The sequence below is a fragment of the Homo sapiens genome, chromosome 4 (genome assembly GCF_000001405.40).
Source record: "Homo sapiens chromosome 4, GRCh38.p14 Primary Assembly".
NCBI classification, from domain to species: domain Eukaryota; kingdom Metazoa; phylum Chordata; class Mammalia; order Primates; family Hominidae; genus Homo; species Homo sapiens.
In genome coordinates, this window is record NC_000004.12 from 15,387,154 (window position 1) to 15,404,836 (window position 17,683).

At 43.2% G+C, this 17,683-nt stretch overlaps 1 protein-coding gene and 1 long non-coding RNA gene across 5 annotated transcripts in view, besides 2 other annotated features; one reads left to right on the forward strand and one right to left on the reverse strand.

Annotated features, from left to right (window-relative positions):
• The window catches only part of C1QTNF7-AS1 (C1QTNF7 antisense RNA 1), a 422,973-nt gene that overhangs the window by 382,212 nt on the left and 23,078 nt on the right, over positions 1-17,683 (reverse strand). The gene's annotated exons all lie outside the window — the stretch shown is intronic.
• Positions 1-17,683, forward strand: part of C1QTNF7 (C1q and TNF related 7) — a 106,382-nt gene that overhangs the window by 47,368 nt on the left and 41,331 nt on the right. The window lies entirely within an intron of this gene.
• Positions 13,947-14,066: an enhancer, noted in NCBI's record as "active region_21338". NCBI's record gives its function as "activates an Ori minimal core promoter by ATAC-STARR-seq in GM12878 lymphoblastoid cells {active_cell/tissue: GM12878}" and the evidence as "EXISTENCE:reporter gene assay evidence [ECO:0000049][PMID:35858748]".
• Positions 14,197-14,256: an enhancer, noted in NCBI's record as "active region_21339". NCBI's record gives its function as "activates an Ori minimal core promoter by ATAC-STARR-seq in GM12878 lymphoblastoid cells {active_cell/tissue: GM12878}" and the evidence as "EXISTENCE:reporter gene assay evidence [ECO:0000049][PMID:35858748]".

A 17,683-nucleotide genomic window follows, 5' to 3' on the forward strand; every position in this document is an offset into this window, starting at 1 on the left:
AAGGGGACTCCAAGTTATTTGGCCTGAGCATCCGAAAGAATTTGCTACCAATTATTGAGACGAGGAAGTGTGTGGGGGACAGGTTGAGAGAGAGCAAGAGAAGGTGCTGGATGAGCTGGGTTCATGAAGCCAATCAGACATGCATGTGGAGGTGTCTAGCAGGTAGCTGAATGTGAGTGTGGCATTCAGGAGGGAGGTCTGGGCTAGAAATAGACATTACAAGCCATGTGGCTAGACAAGATCACCAAGGGAGAGTGCAGGTGGAGAAGTAAAGGTATTCCAAGATTGAACCTAGGCTTCCAATATTTGCCAGATTCAGAAGAGAAAGAGGATCTGGAAAAAAGGGCAATGAGGAGTCTGAGGGGCAAGAGGAAAACCAAGAGACAGTGGTTTCTGAAGGACAAGAGAAGAAAGAGGGAGAAGCAAGGGGGATTCCAGTGACTAGTGGGACAGAAGCCTGATGGGGTGGCTTTCAGAAAGAATGAGAGGAATGCAATTGTAGAGAGTGAATAGAAATCCTTTATTCAAGGACTTTGAGATGAAAGGGAACAGTGAAATAAGGTAGTGTCTGAAAAGAGAAGTGGTAGTATATACAGTAATATCTATGCTATAAACAGTAATATATATCACTGCATATATTTAATTTACATATCTAATTTTACATACACGACTAGATTACTATATCTGTATATATTACATATATATAGATATACAGATATATACATTATCCTTCAAAGAGAAGGAAATGTATGCAGGACAGAGAGGAGAACTGCTCTAGTGATGTCATGAAGTAAGGGAGAAGAGGAGAGAAGATGGTATCCAGGGCACAGGTGCAAGGTTGACCTTGGACGGAGGCACTAACCATTCATTCTTACTGAAGAGGAAAGGCCAAACACACCAGCATTATGCAATGTAAAAGGCATATCTATGCAGTGGTGGGAGATTGTATATCTTCTGATTACTTCTCTTTTCTCAATAAAATGGGAAATAAAGCCATTCATTGAAAGTAACCAGGAGAGAAGAGGTGCCAGAGGTTTAAAGATAGAGAAGAAGATATGAAATGGTTATAAAGGAGAGTTGGATGTAAAGAAATATGAGAATGTAGTATCATTGATATGCAACATTAATTAAGGACTATTTTGAGGTGAACCATCATATGTTGAGATGGAGAGCAGTCGACATGCTTGTGTGTTTTCCTCCCGTCCATCCAGCCAGAATGGTGGATTAGCCAAATAAGTTACAACATAAAGAGGGGCCAAGGAGTCAAGTATGTGTTCAGAGAGCAATTAGACTCTAAGCAGAGTAAGGACAGAGGTGAACATGAATAAGGTACAAATTAAAGGTACAGTGTGCAAGTGAAGTCAAGGAGTCATGGGATTTGGGATACACATGAACAGAAAGGATAGAAATGGTGGCAGGACAGTGGGGAGCTTGAATTTGAATTTGTGAAGGTGCTGTAGTTATTGGTAATGACAAGGTCAATGATATGATCATGTAGGTAAGAGGCTGTGGTGGAGAGGAAGACAAGACCGTTGGAAGAAAAAAGGTTCAGGAACTGTGAGACCAGGATATGTGATGAGTCTTCCAAGTAGACACTGAAATCACTGAGAGTTATGACAGTAATGTTGGAGAAAGTGACAGGGGATCAGGAGCTGAAATCTCCAAGAAATGAGGAAGGTGGTATAATTAGTAGATGGCATCATCCAGGAGGACTAGTGAGTGGTGTAGACAGAGGACATGAGATTCACCTCTGGAGGATGGATGGTCTGGAAAGAGCAAGGAGGAGCAGGGAGGTCACCCATATCACCTCCAGGCTCAGTGAAATGAGGAATGAAGGGTTGAAAACAGCCTCCACCTGGTGGGGTGCAGGAGAGGAGGTGTCCTCAGGGGAGAGCAAAGCTTCAGTCAGGACAAGAAGGTAAAGGACATTCAGAGGGATGGTGAGGATACAGGGGACTTTGCTGATGAGCGGCCTTGAGTTTTAAGGGGCAGTAGGGATGGCCTTCTGAAATCAGGAAGGGGTTGGAGATAAGCCAGGAAGTAGCCATAGGAGATGAAAGTCCACAGGATGAACAGTGACCAGGGGAGTTTTGAAGAGCATGAACTGGGGAGAAGGGTGTGATGAGAGCCCCCAGTGGCCTAAAGGCAGGGCATGCTGGTGAGGCTGTAAGTGGGAGGCAGGAGTGAGTTGGGGTCTACACAAACCATGACAGGTCTGTGGCTTCTCTTCACTCCTGTGCATGATGATTGGAGGTAGGAAAATGAGGAGTCTTTTTATTTTTTTAGATGGAATTTTGCTCTTGTTGCCCAAGCTGGAGTACAACGGTGCCATCACGTCTCACTTCAACCTCCGTCTCCCAGGTTCAAGCGATTCTCCTGCCTCAGCTTCCCAAGTAGCTGGGATTACAGGTGCACACCACCACACCCGGCTAATTTTGTATTTTTAGTAGAGACAGGGTTTCACCATGTTGGTCAGGCTGGTCTCAAACTCCTGACCTCACGTGATCCACCTACCTCGGCCTCCCAAAGTGCTCGGATTACAGGTGTGAGCCACCTCACCCAGCCCAAAATGAGAAGTCTTGTGTGGAGCACCCAGAAATCTCTAGGGTGCCTTCCTTGATCCCCTAGAGATTTTCATAAACTGTCTTGAGAGGCACAGGTGCATTGGTAACACTGGATTATAAAATGTGAGTAGGTCAGGGGGCAGGAAATGAGGCTCACACCGTCAGCAGGGCAGGTTATGGAGAACTGTGCATCGTGTTAAAGACTTCTTCATTAATCCCACAAATCAGGGTTATTAGTCTGTGATGTGAGAGAGGTCCTTTGATATTATGAAGATTATGGACTCTCTTCTACTCCCACATAATCCTACACAACCATTATGCCTATAATTTCAGGGAAGGGAGGAATTTGTCCGCTGTATACAAGACTATTCAACCAGAGAAACAGATGAGTAGGAAATATATATTAAGAGGCATATTGCAGGGATTCGGATTATGCAGATGTAGGGGCTGGCTACAAGTCTAAAATCTGTAGGGGAGTCCTCCAGGAAGGGTAGGCTGGAACACTAAGGAAGGAGCTGATGCTTCGGTCCACAGGAAAGCCACAGCTCTGCTCTTCAATCCTTTCGACTGATTGAATTGAGGCACCTAAATTATCTAGGAAAACTTTACTTACCATCAACAGATTATTGAATTTAACCACATCTACAAAATGTCTTTACAGCAAAACCCAGAGTGTTTGATGAATAACTAGGGACTGAAGCCTAGCCAAGTTAATGCAAAAAACTGACCATGAAATCAGTGTATTTCCTAAAACCTACAGATCTATGGCTGGGAGTTCCTTTTGTGAGCAGAGGAGGAGCCCATGAAACATTAAGGAAGAAAAGCGAGATGGTCCACCTTGCATTTCAGAAAGATCAGATCTTCAAGATTAGGTGGTAAGAAATCTTAGTAAAGAATCTGAACAAACAATACTAAAAATAAAATACAACTTTCTCCAGTGCAAATCCATGTGAATTACAGCTGGTCTCAGTGGAAAATAAAGCAAGCTGGGAAGAACCCCAAAGAAAATTTATTCCAGACTTCCCTGAACACTCAGGAAAGGAATTATTAGTCCAATGTGCAAGAACTTTTAAAGTAATAGATCAAAACTCCCAATAACGTTCTAATCTTCCACTGAATTCATGGTTAATGAATTGACGATGGGCACCTAATCAGTGCCAGCTTGCTCATGAAAACAGAAAAAAAAATAATTAGCCATAGTTCCTGCCACCTCCCACTCTCCCAAAGAGACAGTCTATCTGGGGACTCCATCGGTTAGCACTCTTTCAATTGAAAGCAATGGAACACCCAACTCAAAATGCCTCAAAGCAAGAAAATGGGGAAGGGTGCTTTTGAATGCACATAATTAAAGTCTGGGGGTAGATCTTCTGACTTCATGTTGTGTTGAATCCAGGTGCTCTAAGCATACGGTCTGAACTCTGTCTCCACATCTCTCAGTTCTGCTTGTCTCTGAGGTGGTATGACTGTTGTATGTATGTTGTAACGAGAGACAGTATCACCAGCAACTCCAGGTCTACACCCTAGTAGCTCAGCAATCCCAGTAGAGAAGACTCCTGGACTCCCAGGGTTGAGTAGACTCCTACAGTCCAGTCTCAGTGGACTCACTTAAGTCACCTGCCCTCCCATGAATTAATCACTCTAACTTGAGCCACGGAATATCCTGAAGATGCTGGAGCATGGGTGGGGAGACCCCACCTGAACTGTACGTTTTGAGAGAAGGAGAAGAAAAGGTCTCCAAAGGAAAATTAAGAGGCTATTTCCAAAGAGGGAATTGAGTGTTGGGTAAACAACAAAAGTCAGTGCCCTTTTTTGGGTCATCACCCCTCAAGCCCCAGTGACCAATGCAAACCAGCACAGATCTGAGAATTCCACTGGGCATCCTGCCCTAATGCGAGTCCCAGTGCCCTATCTCCAAAGGGGGAGTAAAAACAACACTTGTTATTAACGTGTTTGTGTCTCCCAGCAACAATATGTATTATTAAAAATCAAAGGAGATAACATATACAATTATGCCTTATAAATAATAAACATTGCATACAGATAAGGTATGATGAAAGCTTTATCAATGGGGTGGGACTTCAGTTTGTGATGAGAAGGAAAAGGAGGAAAAGGGACAACAAGCAGGAAGAAGCACCACTATTTGGGCAGTTAAGAAGGGGAAATTTGAACACAGGTCCAAAACCCATGTTCTTTCAATTTGGCATTACAACGTGGGTCTTATGAATACAGACAGGCAGTGAGAGAGAGAGAGGAAGGGAGTGGGGAAAGCATTCCTGAGTGCCCAGGTCCTCAGCCTGGATTTAGTTTCAGCAATAGTTAGCCAGCTGAAAGTTTAACTTAAGCTGTGGACTGAGGGATATTAATTAGAATGAATTTGTTAGAGAATGTTTTAGCCAGGACAAAAAGAACTGAACATTTTAGGAATGTGCCATAGACACCAAGCTGAATTTAAATGCTCTTCTGTCTGAATTCCTAAACCCTCCATTCATCCAGGTATCGAGAAAAGAGACTCCATTTCTTGCCAGAAGACTGGGCTTGCACATTCATCAGATCCATGATTCACACCTGTGTATATATCTAGGGGGCGCTTACTTAAATCACCTCATTCATTTTCCACCACAGCCTTCTCAGTGGATACAGCGTCCTCGCAGAACCAAGGTACACACACAATGGAGTGTTAACTGCCAGTGTGTGAACCAAACCTCTCACCCCAAGCCCGGTGCCCCTTCAGCCCCATCACAGGCACCTGTGCAGGGAAGCAGCCCTCACCCAAAGACACTAGCCCTGCCTTCCACATTCCAAGAAGCCCTGAGGCACATTCACATCTGCCTGGGCCCCAGCTCAGCCTCTCCAGGGAGGACCTGGTACAGCCCAACTTCCTCACTTCTCTTTGCGTGGAATGATGCCAAGCATCTCTCAGGCACCGGCAGAAGGAGCAGAGGGTGTGATGTGGGTGGCATTTGGGCCAGGCATTCCGTGTGAGTCTGTTTTGCCTCCCTGTGGGCCTATTTCCTTTCTCCCTCACCTAGCAAAAAACACCAATAATTATGATATAGAAAGGGGCAACATGGGATTTTCAAAAGACATTTGAGTGAAATGAAAATGTACAGGTGAGAGTAACCGGGAAAACAGGTGAATGCCACCTGGGAGTTTGCTATCCTCCAACAAGAAAATCACCATCATGACTGCAATAAAAGCCCAGGAACAGAGACCCTGAGCTGGTCTGGGAGACACACTCTGATATAATTTGACTGTGTCCCCACCCAAATCTCATCTTGAATTGTAGCTCCCAAAATTTCCACGTGTTGTGGAAGGGACCTGGTGGGACATAACTGAATCATGGGGGTGGTTCCCCCCATACTGTTCTTATGGTAGTGAATAAATCTCATGAGATCTGATGGTTTTATAAGGGGAAATCTCTTTCGCTTGGCCCTCTTTTCTGTCTTGTCTGCCGCCATGTAAGACATGCCTTTTGCCTTCCACCATGATTGTGAGGCCTCCCTAGCCATGTGGAAATGTGAGTCCATTAAGCCTCTTTTTCTTTATAAATTACCCAGTTTCAGGTATGTCTTATCAGCAGCATGAAAACAGACTAGTTTCCCTCTAGCTGGAAACAACGTGGGTCCCACACTCTTCTGCAGGCCATTCTGCAGGACTCTTCCACTGTGGTAAGAACCTACAGGCCCCAGGCTGCTAAATCTTAGAAGGAGGCCCCCAGGAAAGCTTAATCACACTAGAAGCCAAAGGTTCTCAACCCTGCCCTTTCTCAGAATCATCTGGGATCACATTAAAACGCAGACTCTCGAGCCCAACACCCAAAGATCTTTATTCTGGAAATGTGAAGTAGGGCTTGGGCATCTTTGCCTTTAACAGGCTTCCCTGGAAATTCTGAGGACCAATGGATTTGATCATCACTAATCCAGGTAGCTTCCTTGCTGTGTGACCTGGGGTAAGGGAGTTCACCTCTCTAAGCCTGTTTCCTCAACTTTAAAATAAGGCAAACCCACCTCTTCCACAGGGTAGTTGTGACAACTAGACGCCATGAGAGCACTAGCACCAAGACAGGGCTACTCACTCATTCACATGTTTGTTGAGGCCTACTATGTGCTGGGCCCTTTCTGGATACAAGAGACACAGCAGTGAACCAGACAGAAACTCTGTTCCCACACAAGCCTTCCTTTCTAATGAGGATAGACAGATAAGAAACCAGTAACCATTTCCTACATCGTATAGTGACTGCATTAAGGGGGAAGTAAGGGCAGAGGGGGTGTGTAGGGCCAAGGCAGGAGGGCTCTATTTCATATAGCAGGGAAGGGAAAGGCTCACAGATACATGAAGTTTGAGCAGAACCCTGAAGGAGATGAGTGAGAGAATGAGCCTGTGAAGGTCTAAAGTGTAAACATTCCAGGCTGAAGGAAAGTCCCATGCAAAGGCCCTGAAGTGGGAGCATGTTTGGAACACTTGAGGAAAGTACGTAAGGTAAATGTGGTTGGGGCAGAGGTGCAAGGGATGATAAGAGGAGCTGAAGTTGGGGTGAAACCCAAGGGCAGATTGTATAGGCTTTGCCAGCCTTCTACATGGAGAGTGAGCTCTCAAGAAACAGTGGCTAAATCCAAGACAACCAAAATGTGCCCAGTAGGGGAATGCCCAGATAACTTACAATCAGCTCATACTGCAGAATGCTAGGCAGAGAAAGGTATTCACCACATATTGTTTAGTGAAAAGAGCATGTTGCAGAAAATAGGTATGTTTGGATTCCATTTCAAAAACAAATTCATCCTCATATGTGTACATGTTTGTGCAGAGTCTCAAAAAGGTGGAAGAATGCACACACAAAAGTTTGAACAGTGGGAATCCTTGAGGAATTGGGTTCAAAGGAAGGGATCTGTGTGTGGGGACTCCCACATTTTACTTTGTGTAATTCTATATCATTTTTGGTTTTACGACAAACATATTTTTTATAATTTTCAAAAATTACAAACATGTGTTGGATTCCGATGGAACTAGACTCTCTACTCTTCACATTTTGGGGATCACAGGAGAGATGATGGTGGGTATCAGAAGGTCTTGAACCATAAGGCCTGGCCCTGGTACTTTTTTACCTAAGGCATCCCCAAGTGCCTTAGGATAGATATCGGCACCCAAGGGGATTCTCATTATTAAAGACAATTTGAACACCTCAACTGTTTCCCAAAAGAACTTGAGTAGGACTGTCTTAAAATGTACCTGTGGGATTTTAATTTATGGAGGTGATTCAGTGACAACACAAACAGACTAATGCCATTGAAAGAGAAGTTTTATAACTTATATTTCCCAAGAGGAGGGGGCACACCATGCCACACAGGGCCACATGGGAAAGAGCCTGGCTGGTCAGGGGGCAGAAGGGAGAGAAGAGAGAGCCTGGGCCAGAGCCTTCACTGTGTTTTCCATGGGAAAAGCAAGACAGGGCAGGATAAACAGCTTAGGACTGGCTACTTGGAATAAGTCTGATGGCTTTGGAGCATAGGGACTGTCCCTAGTTGTCTGGTGCCTGGCCCTGGGGTGATTTAGGGAAGAGGGAATATTGGCTCCATGTGTAAGAATTCCATAAAAGAGATGGTGGGGGGCGTGGACTCTGGATTGGTGTTTTTGCATTTAAAAAAAGAGTGCTCTTGGGCAAGCCCCCTTGCTTTCTGTAAGAACTGGCTATGCCTGGGAGGTGCAGTCTCTCCCCAGTCAAATGCCAGAGCATCAGGAACACAGAAAACAAGAAAAGATAGTTAATACAACTGGCCCTGTGATGAATGGATGCCAAATAGACACAGACTCTAAGAAAACAAAGCTGTTACAACCACAACCCAGTTAAAAGAGGCCAGTATACTCAGACTCGTAACTCAGACATTCTCTACCAGGAGGCATGATGGGCTGGGAGCTGGGGGATAGTGAGAAAATAGAGAAAGGCAGGGCCGAGGGAGGGTCCATTGTTCAAATGACACCGAAAAAACAGCAGAAAATTGTAAGACCTACTCTGTGCTGAGAAAATACAGGGCACCTTAGATATATTGTCTCTAACAATCAAACCCTTTGAAACACATATTAGTATCACCATTTTACGGATGAGAAAAATGAAGCTGGGAGGGGTAAGTATCCTGCCCCTATGGTCATCTGGCCAGTCAGTGGTGGAAGTAGACGTTAAACCTCAGTCTTTTTGACTCCAAAGACACTGTTTTAACTTTAAAGTCTAATTTCTCTGAAATCTGGGCTTGAACCTGGGCAGATGCTAATCTCCAAAGAAATCAGTTTTAGTAAGTGGGGGGCAATGAAGAGGGCTCTAAGCAGTGGGAGTTTCAGGTCAGAGCAAAGCTGCAAAATTCCAAGTAAAGCTTCCAAACAAGTAAGTGGATGTGGCTGAGACCTTCACAAGGACCTCAGGGAGGATGTCATTCCAACTTGACCAGGGCACCAGCAATGGATGAGGGCTGCAGCCTGACAGCACCCGAATGTGAAGATTCAGCCACTTGTACCGCATCCTGGGCCTCACTGCTCCAAATTCCCACCAAGGTGGGCCTGAGCCAACCTCCATCAGGTTGGAGATGATTGAGATTGAGAGGCTCTGGCTGTGCCTTCAAATGGGAGGGGCAGGGGGCAGACAGCACTGACACAGAGGACCATAAAATGTATCTAGCAGAGCAGGAGAGCTCCATCTGGAGGTCAGGCGAAGTAGTACAATTGTGCACTATCTTTTCTCAGCGCTTCCAGTGTTAATCATGATCTGGGGGCAGCTGAGCAGATCTCATGTATTCAGCAATTATTTATTGAGCACCAAGCAGCATATCATATTTTAGTTTCCAAAAACCCTAAGACAAAGACTTAGGGGGCACATTATTTATATGCATAAAGCAGGGAGTAGGGACAGAAAAAGGATAATAAAGCTAAAAAAAAGGTGTGTTATTGAGTGGTTGGCACTGTGGGCAACTGATGCTCAGTCCCTCTGAGGACCCTGAGAGTTCCTCAGAACACCCCTCAGAATTGTCCCATCAGCAGAGGAGAGGCTGTGTCTTCACTGACTGAGGGTTTCCTGGGTGGCTTTCCATCACCAGCCCTTCTTGGCAGCCCACACACTGAATAAACTTTCCTGTAGTTCCAGAGAAAGGGACACAGGCAACTCAGGGGGTGGCTGTCAGTGTGATGGCATATTAGTCTGTTTTCACGCTGCTAATAAACACATACCTGAGACTGGGCAATTTACAAAAGAGAAAGGTTTAATACAGTTCTACGTGCCTGGGGAAGCTTCACAATCATGGCAGAAGGCAAGGAGGAGCAAGTCCCGTCTTACATGGATGGCAGCAGGCAAAGGAGAATGAGGAAGATGCAAAAGCAGAAAACCCTGATAAACCACCAGATCTTGTAAGACTTGTTCACTACCATGAGAACGATATGAGGGAAACCGCCCCCGTGATTCCACCGGGTCCCTCCCACAACACATGGGAATTATGGGAGTACAATCCAAGATGAGATTTGGGTGGGGACACAGCCAAACCATATCAGATGGAAACTTCCCACTGCAGCTTCAAGTGAGCTCAGAGGTGGATTGAGAGCCCTGGAGCAGGGCAACAGCAGTTTCTGATCCCCTAAGACCTCTCGGAGACTGTTCTCCCACAGTGGACTCTATAGCTACTCGCCTGCTCTGCAACCTCCTGGGCCTAAGCTCAGGGCTCCTCTGTCTGAGTGGTCATCCCCTACTCAAATTCAGGAGTGAGCTCAGACAACTCTTCCTCTAAAATATGCTTTGTGAGCATAAAATCTGAGGCAGGAGTGTGCCTCTGCACCTCTGGCTATCTCTAGAGGCACCTGGATAGTGGTTACAGGCCTGAGCTTACAGCTCCGTGTCACACTGGGCTTGAAGATAGTAAGTCATGGCCCTTATCTTCAAGGGACTTAAAGTCTCAAAGACAAGAAGACCACAACTCTCTCTAGGCTGTGAGCATTCCCAAGAGTTCTTAAGGCTTCACTTATGAATGTGCTTTCTGAGAAATAAAAAAGAGCAACATTCTATGCACTCAGCTCCACTGTAGATCCTAAATTAGTCATAGGATCCCCAACAGACCACCTACCAAAGCCCCACCCAGGGAGATTCATTAACAAATCAAATTAAAATCTCTCAGCAGATGCTGGCGACTACACAGTTCTACTTCCAAGAATCCCCAAATCATCCCAACTGATTTTGAACCTGCAAGAGCACCCAGTGGAATTAAGGCCCACCACTCTCACCTCCCCTCCTCCTGTAGAGTCCTTCCTAAACCAGACCCACAAAGGAACGCAGCCACAATTTCAGTCTTTCTTGCTTCTTTTCCCAACTTTACTACCATTAATCTAGTTTTTCATTCATTTTTTTCATTCACTCAGCCAACAATTTCTTCAGTGCCAGTCATGCGTCAGTTGCTGTGTTTGGCTCCAGCAATGTAATCATGACTGAAATATGGCCCTAGGTCAAAAGGAGCTTATAGGCCATAGCGATGACAGCAATTTTATTCTTCCACACCCAACTGGAAATTTTAAAAGCACCTGGGGTTACCAAGAGATCTAATGAATCATAGCTAGAAACCATTTTCCAAACACTAAAGGCAAAGCTAATTATATCAGACTCATGCTTAATATCCATTATTGACCACCCCCCCTCCCTGCCCCATTGATGTCCAAGTCCCTTTATTTACAGCTAAGCATCTTGACTGGATTCCCAGCTACTGTACAAGCCTTGTCCTCCAATATCTACCTTCACAGACTTTCTGTTCCACAGTGAACACTTCAGCATATCTCTTCTGGGACTACCTGGGTCTAGGCTCAGGACTCCTCTGTCTGAGTAGACAAGCCCTACTCAAATCTCAAAGCTGAGCTCAGGCATCCCTTTCACAGAAGTGCCTTTTGTGAACATTCCCCTGAGGCAGCAGTCTGCTTCTGTTACCTGTGGCAAATCTGTAGGGTCTGCAGCAACCTCAATTCTTGCCTGCTCAGAAGAAAGAATTCAACTGAGGGGCATAAAGCAGAAGGAGAGACTGAGGCAAGTTTTACAGCAGGAGTGAAAGTTTATTAAAAAGCATTAGAGCAGGAATGAAAGGAAGTAAAGTATACTTGGAAGAAGGCCAAGCAGGCAACGTGAGAAATCAAGTGCATGACTCCACCTTTTGACTTGGGGCTTTATAAGCTGGTGTGCTTCTGGGATCTCGCATTGCCTCTCCCCTGATTCTTCCCTTGGGATGGGCTGTCCGTATGCACAGTGGCCTGTTAGTGGTTGGGAGGTGAGCATGCGCAGTGTGTTTACTGGAGTTGTATGCATGCTCACCTGAGGTGTTCTTCCCCCACCAGTCTAGCATTCCTAGAGGAAGGTCATGTACCAGTTAAATGCTGCCATTTTGCCTCTTAATGCACATGCTTGAGACCACTCTCCCAACTCCTGAGATCTTATCAGGAACCTGCTGATCACCAGTTTCAGGTGTTTTCTATCTATTGGGAAACTGCCCTTCCCTGGTGCCGACTGCAACCAATTATTATTTTAGAGAGACAGTTAACTTTCTGACCATCAGCTGATGGTCACCTGACATTCCTAGTGGGTGGGTGTGTTGGGGAGGAAGCCCTCTCCTGTTCTGCCAATGCCTGATGAGCCACCTACTGTAACACTTCCAGCAGCTCTGAATATCTCTGTAGGCTCCGCAGATAGTAGTTAAGAACATGCACCCCAAGTCATACTGACTACAGGACCCATTTCAATCGATGATCTGTGACTTGGCCAGGTTCTTCGTATCTCTAAGCCTTGATTTCCTCCAGTTAGAATGGGGATAATAATAATCATGTACGTAGTGTTTTTGCATGGAATAAATGTGATGACCCATTTAAAGACTTAGCCCAATGTTTGAACACATAGTAAGCCCTCAAACATTAGCTCCTGTGATATGTAGCTAATTTCATAAAACACTTCATTTTAACTGTTAGCTTAATTTGACTATCACCTCCTTACCTATGTCTTATATAACTATAAGTCCAACTTTCCCACAGCATGCTGGGTATATAGGTATTAAGTAAGTGAATGAATGAACTGAGATGCCACTTGCAAAATTTGGAAGGTGCTTTCAAGTAGTATATACTGAGTGCCCACTTGAAGCCAGGCATTGCTCCAGGGCCTTTCCCATATATGAAATCATCTGTTCTTCCCAATATTCCTGTGGGATTAAAAAGACTACTGCCATTATCACATTTTTATGGGTCAGAAAACAAGTTCAGAAAGTCTATCCAATTTTTCTGAGGCCATGACATTAGTGAATGCCAGGACAGAGATTTAAGCCTGGCTTCTCTGGTTCTGGGGAAGATACATCAATGTGATTGTAACACACAAGCTAGATTTTAGGGAAATGACACTGCAACTAAGATATCGTCCATTGTTGCTAGGCCCCACAGGAATTCAGAGATGCAAGGTTTTATTCTTCAAAAATGTCTTGGATTGTACACACATATTTTAATTGTTGAGAGAATAAACAACTTGACTGAAAAAAGAAAAAAGAAAACATTTACAGTCTGTATATTGCAAAAAGATCTAAAGGCAGCAGCTCCCACGGCTCTTTGAGGGATATAGATGATCAGTGTAATCTGTCATAAATCAGCCAAGTATGTTCAGTGGCAGTAAATAATGCTGTCAACAGCATTAAATTTGATGCACAAGAAGACACATTTGTATGAAAGGGAGTGGAGAGAAACAGAAAAGGATTAAGTTCCATTGTTTTGTTTTCTGGTGAACACAAGAAATCTGAAACCGTCTGCAACAAGAAACCCTAACTTTGGAAATTGTACAATATTTTCCCTCCAACATTCAAGGAGACCATTGAAGCTGGTCAGTGTCCTGGCTGGATGATGAACGGTCTGCTCTGATCCATACCTTCCAGCCAGACCTCATGACCTTCTCAATTCCCAGGCTTCCTAATGTTTGTTATAGAAATTATTGGCTTTTCTTGCCCTGTATTAATCAAAGAGGCTAAGTTAGGCAGCACTAACCAACAAATCCCAAATCTCAGTGGCTTCAAACAGCAAAAAGGTTTATGTACTGATGCATAAATACAAAAGCCTTTATGTTACATGCTCACTATGGAGCAATCAGGGTCTTTGTTCATTGTGGGCCCTCAGGACCCAGCCACCATCACCATTTCCCGATACCCCCATCACAGCATAAGGCTTCAGATTTCACCATGGAGGGGAAAGGGGACATGTAGGTAATTCATGTTTTCTGCCCACACAATTCTTCTAGCCAGGCCTAATTTTAGAGACGAGGAAGGGTGATCCTGCCAAGTGTCTTAGAGGAGGGCAGAACCGGAAATACTAGCGGGCGCACCCCAGTGCTGCATACCACACATAGAAGAAGTCAGAATAGTTCCTTTAGAGAGCTATTTCCATGTTGCACAATAGCGAGGGGGAAGGGAGTGGCAAATAAATGAGGAGGAACTGGGAAAACATATCATTTTTGTTGTGTAGGGATAGTCTCTGATGAGGAGACCATGTCTGGGGTGGAAAGGAATGAGGAGCGTGTGGGGAGGAGCGACCTTGCAGCCACAACAAAATCTGCATCTTTAAGTGCTTCAACCTGAGCCACACTGGCCTCCCGGACACCAAAACCTGAGGGGGATGTTTCATCAAGGCCAGCTGAGTAGGAAGAACAGAAACCACAAACCTACTGGGGCCTGGTTAACTGAATGCTGCAAGCCCCCTCTGCACTGTTGTTGGCCAAATAGCTGGAGGCATCTCATCACATTTGAATGACACCAGTACCAAAGCCAGGCAAAGGTCCCAGCATGGGTATTGCAAGAGGGGGGAAACAAGTAGAAAAATCAAAAACAGAAGGCAGATACAAAATTACATACATCATAAATGATCCACCACCAGAGAACACAGAGATCAGTTCTCTTCAGTCTTAAATGAATCAACATCGTAGTTTCTCAGAAAAGAAAGTTTAAAAACGAAATAGAAATGATCAGAAAAGAAATAAGATGAAGACCAGTTAAAAAGTAGCAGAGCTCAGGAAATCAATGAAATAAAACAATTATAGACATGAAAGTCAACTTCAAAGTCAACAGAAAACAGATAAATGCTATTGAAAGCACAGGAAAGCTTCAGATACCACACGAAATGAGAAAGAAAGAAACAGTGTGATAAAAATGATTACAGACAAGACAACACAAACTGAAGCAAAAGGGAGGCTGACATACCCAAATTGGTATTTTGAACAGAAAAAAAGGAACAGGAAAAAACTTAAAGTCAATTCAAGAAAGCTTTTTGAGTTTAAAAAAGCTTTCTCTAAATGTAAAGGGAACACCATATCCCAGGAAAAATAAGCAAGATTGGTAACATCAAGATATGGACTGTGAAAATTCAAGGAAAAATGTCTTGTATGTGTTGTTTAGAGAACAGATATCACAAGCGGAGCCTGGCAGGTTACTTTAGTCTCCACCACAATCCTCAACACCAGAAAATAGCAGAGCAACCTCTACCAAGTTCTAAGGGGACAAGGTGACCCAAGAGGTTTTTTTCTTTCACTCAGCCAAGCTATGCTATAACTATAAAAGAAACAGGCAGGCATTCCTAAACATGTAAGAATTCAAGGACTGTATTAACAAAGCCCTTCTTGAAAAGTATTTGATGATGAAATCTAGCATAGCAAGACATGAATCAAAATTAAACACCCAGCAATGGAGAATCCACCAAATAAGGACATGAGCAAGTATTAGATCTTTTACAAAACCGAATCAAGACTAAGCAACAGTGGGAATTATTTGACAGAAAAGAATATAAATGTTATAATTCCAGGCAATCCAAAAATAATAATGTAACTGAAAAAAATTGGGAGGCTAGGGGTGGAAGGGAAAAATGAAATAAATAAAACCCTCCTCTTTCATGGCAGAAGATAAATAAATATTGTATAAAGTTAAAACATACAAAGTTTTAAAAAGCAAAATGACACTAAATTCTGGAATTGTTTTTCATAGTTGTCATCTAACCTTAGAAATATCTGAAGTTCAGCAATTCCTTCAGTTGGATTCTAGTTTATTTTTATTCTGATACATTCAAGTAACCTCACATTCAATCATTTTTTATAAAAATAGCATGCGTAGTATGAACTTATTTTTGTAAAATTATATCCAGCAAGGCTTCTGGCTAAACCTGTGCCTCAGAGAATCTGGAATGATGTTCATCAAATGTTGGCAAAATGATTTCTGAGAGGTGAAAGTTTGTTTTGCTTTGCTTTTTTCTGTTTTTTTTTTTTTTAATAAAATTCCTTGAAATTTTTATGATAAGCAGATACATTTTCACAAAATCACCACAATCTCCCCCAAATAATCACTCTCTACAGATCATGTCAGCTACTTAGGTGCCTGAAAATCTGCCTGTCTCTGAGTCCCATGCTTCCCCAAAATACTATGCAAGCCCAGCAGTCGGCTCTGCTCAGAAGAATGTGCCCAGGCAGCGCAGCCCTTCCCTCTTGGAGTCAGCAATCAATTTTGCTCTGTGTTATTCATTTTGGATGTCCAATGTTGGTCTCATTCTGTCTCATCCTCTTACTCTAGTAATGCTGTATTAGTTTCCCAGGACTGCTTTAGCAAATTACCACAACCTGGGTGGTTTACATCAGAAATTTATTCTCTTGCAGGTCTGGAGATCAAAAATCCAAAATCAAGGCTTTGACAGGGTTTGTTCCTTCTGGAGGCTCTGCAAGGTCATTCATCCTCTGCCTCTCTCCTGGCTTCTGGTGGCTACAGGCAATCCTTGGGGTTTCTGGGATCGTAGGCACAACATTCCCATGTCTGCCTCTGTCATCACCTCACCTTCTTTTCTGTCTCTTTTCCCCTTCTTTTCTCAGGATACATTGGATTTAGGGTGCACCCTAATCCAGGATGATCTCATCTCAAGATCCTTAATTACATCTACATAAACCCTATTTCAAATTAAGTTTGCATTCACAGGTTTGGGGTAGACACGTCTTTGAGGGGGCTACTATTCAGCCCACTACAAATGGTGTGATTTCTGAATGGTGTAACAACTAAAACTGCTTGCAATATAGCTGTGCTCCAAGAATTGCCCAACTCCAATAAAATAGTTGTATTCTTTATGTTTTGTTCAAACAGGTTTTTTTCTGTATTATGAAATGATATAAAATACCTAAATTTTAAAAACAAAAATGTCCTCTATTTTTAACATTCATAAAAATACTACTATCGATATATTTTAGTTCAGTATCCTCCTAGAGTACTTTTCTATGCATATACAAATATATCATGTACTAATAATGTACTTATTGTTTTGCAGCTCTTTACAATGAATCTATTTTAGGCATTTAGTCAAATGGATTCACCTTAGTTTATTTAAGTAGTTTCTTTAACTTGACATTTAAATTGTTTCCCATTTTTTGTTATATAACAAGCTGGCTAAAATAAATATCCATATAGATATAGATGTTTTTATATATATTTTTAAAAAGACCAAAACCATGAGCTGCTCCTTCTATGCCATTCATGGAAGCAGCGAGTGCTTGCTAGAAGAGAGTTTCTCACAATACATGGGGCCTAAGGATCCCTGAAGACACAAGCAGTTTTGGAACCAGATATATCTGAGTACTAGTTCTTCTTGCTTAGCTCTATGACTTTAGGAAAATCACTTAATCCTTCTCAGTCCTGATTTTCACCAGGAAAATAATCTCTAGTCTTTAAATCATGGTGAAGGTTAAATGATGATTAGAGTTAACACTTATAAAGTATTTAGAATACAGCAAGTGTTTTTTATGCTAGTATTATAACTTATACTTCAGAGAGACTTCCAGAAAGATCCACCTCAGTAATTTCACTGTGGAACAGGAAAAGGGTCAAACTCAAAAGTATTTGCATGAGTCAATGACTAGGATCACTTAGTATATTCTCTGATCTTGGCTAAGCATTTGTGACTTTACAGCGGCATAGTCAGAGCAGGTTGACTGCGGTAGGGTTGTCATTTTATTCTTAATGGGGACCAAGGGCATGGGAACCAAACAGTCTGAGAGAGAAAGCAAGACCAATCACTTCCCGAGTAAGGAATGTCTGCACAGCACAACAGAACTCATTCTTATATTAAGT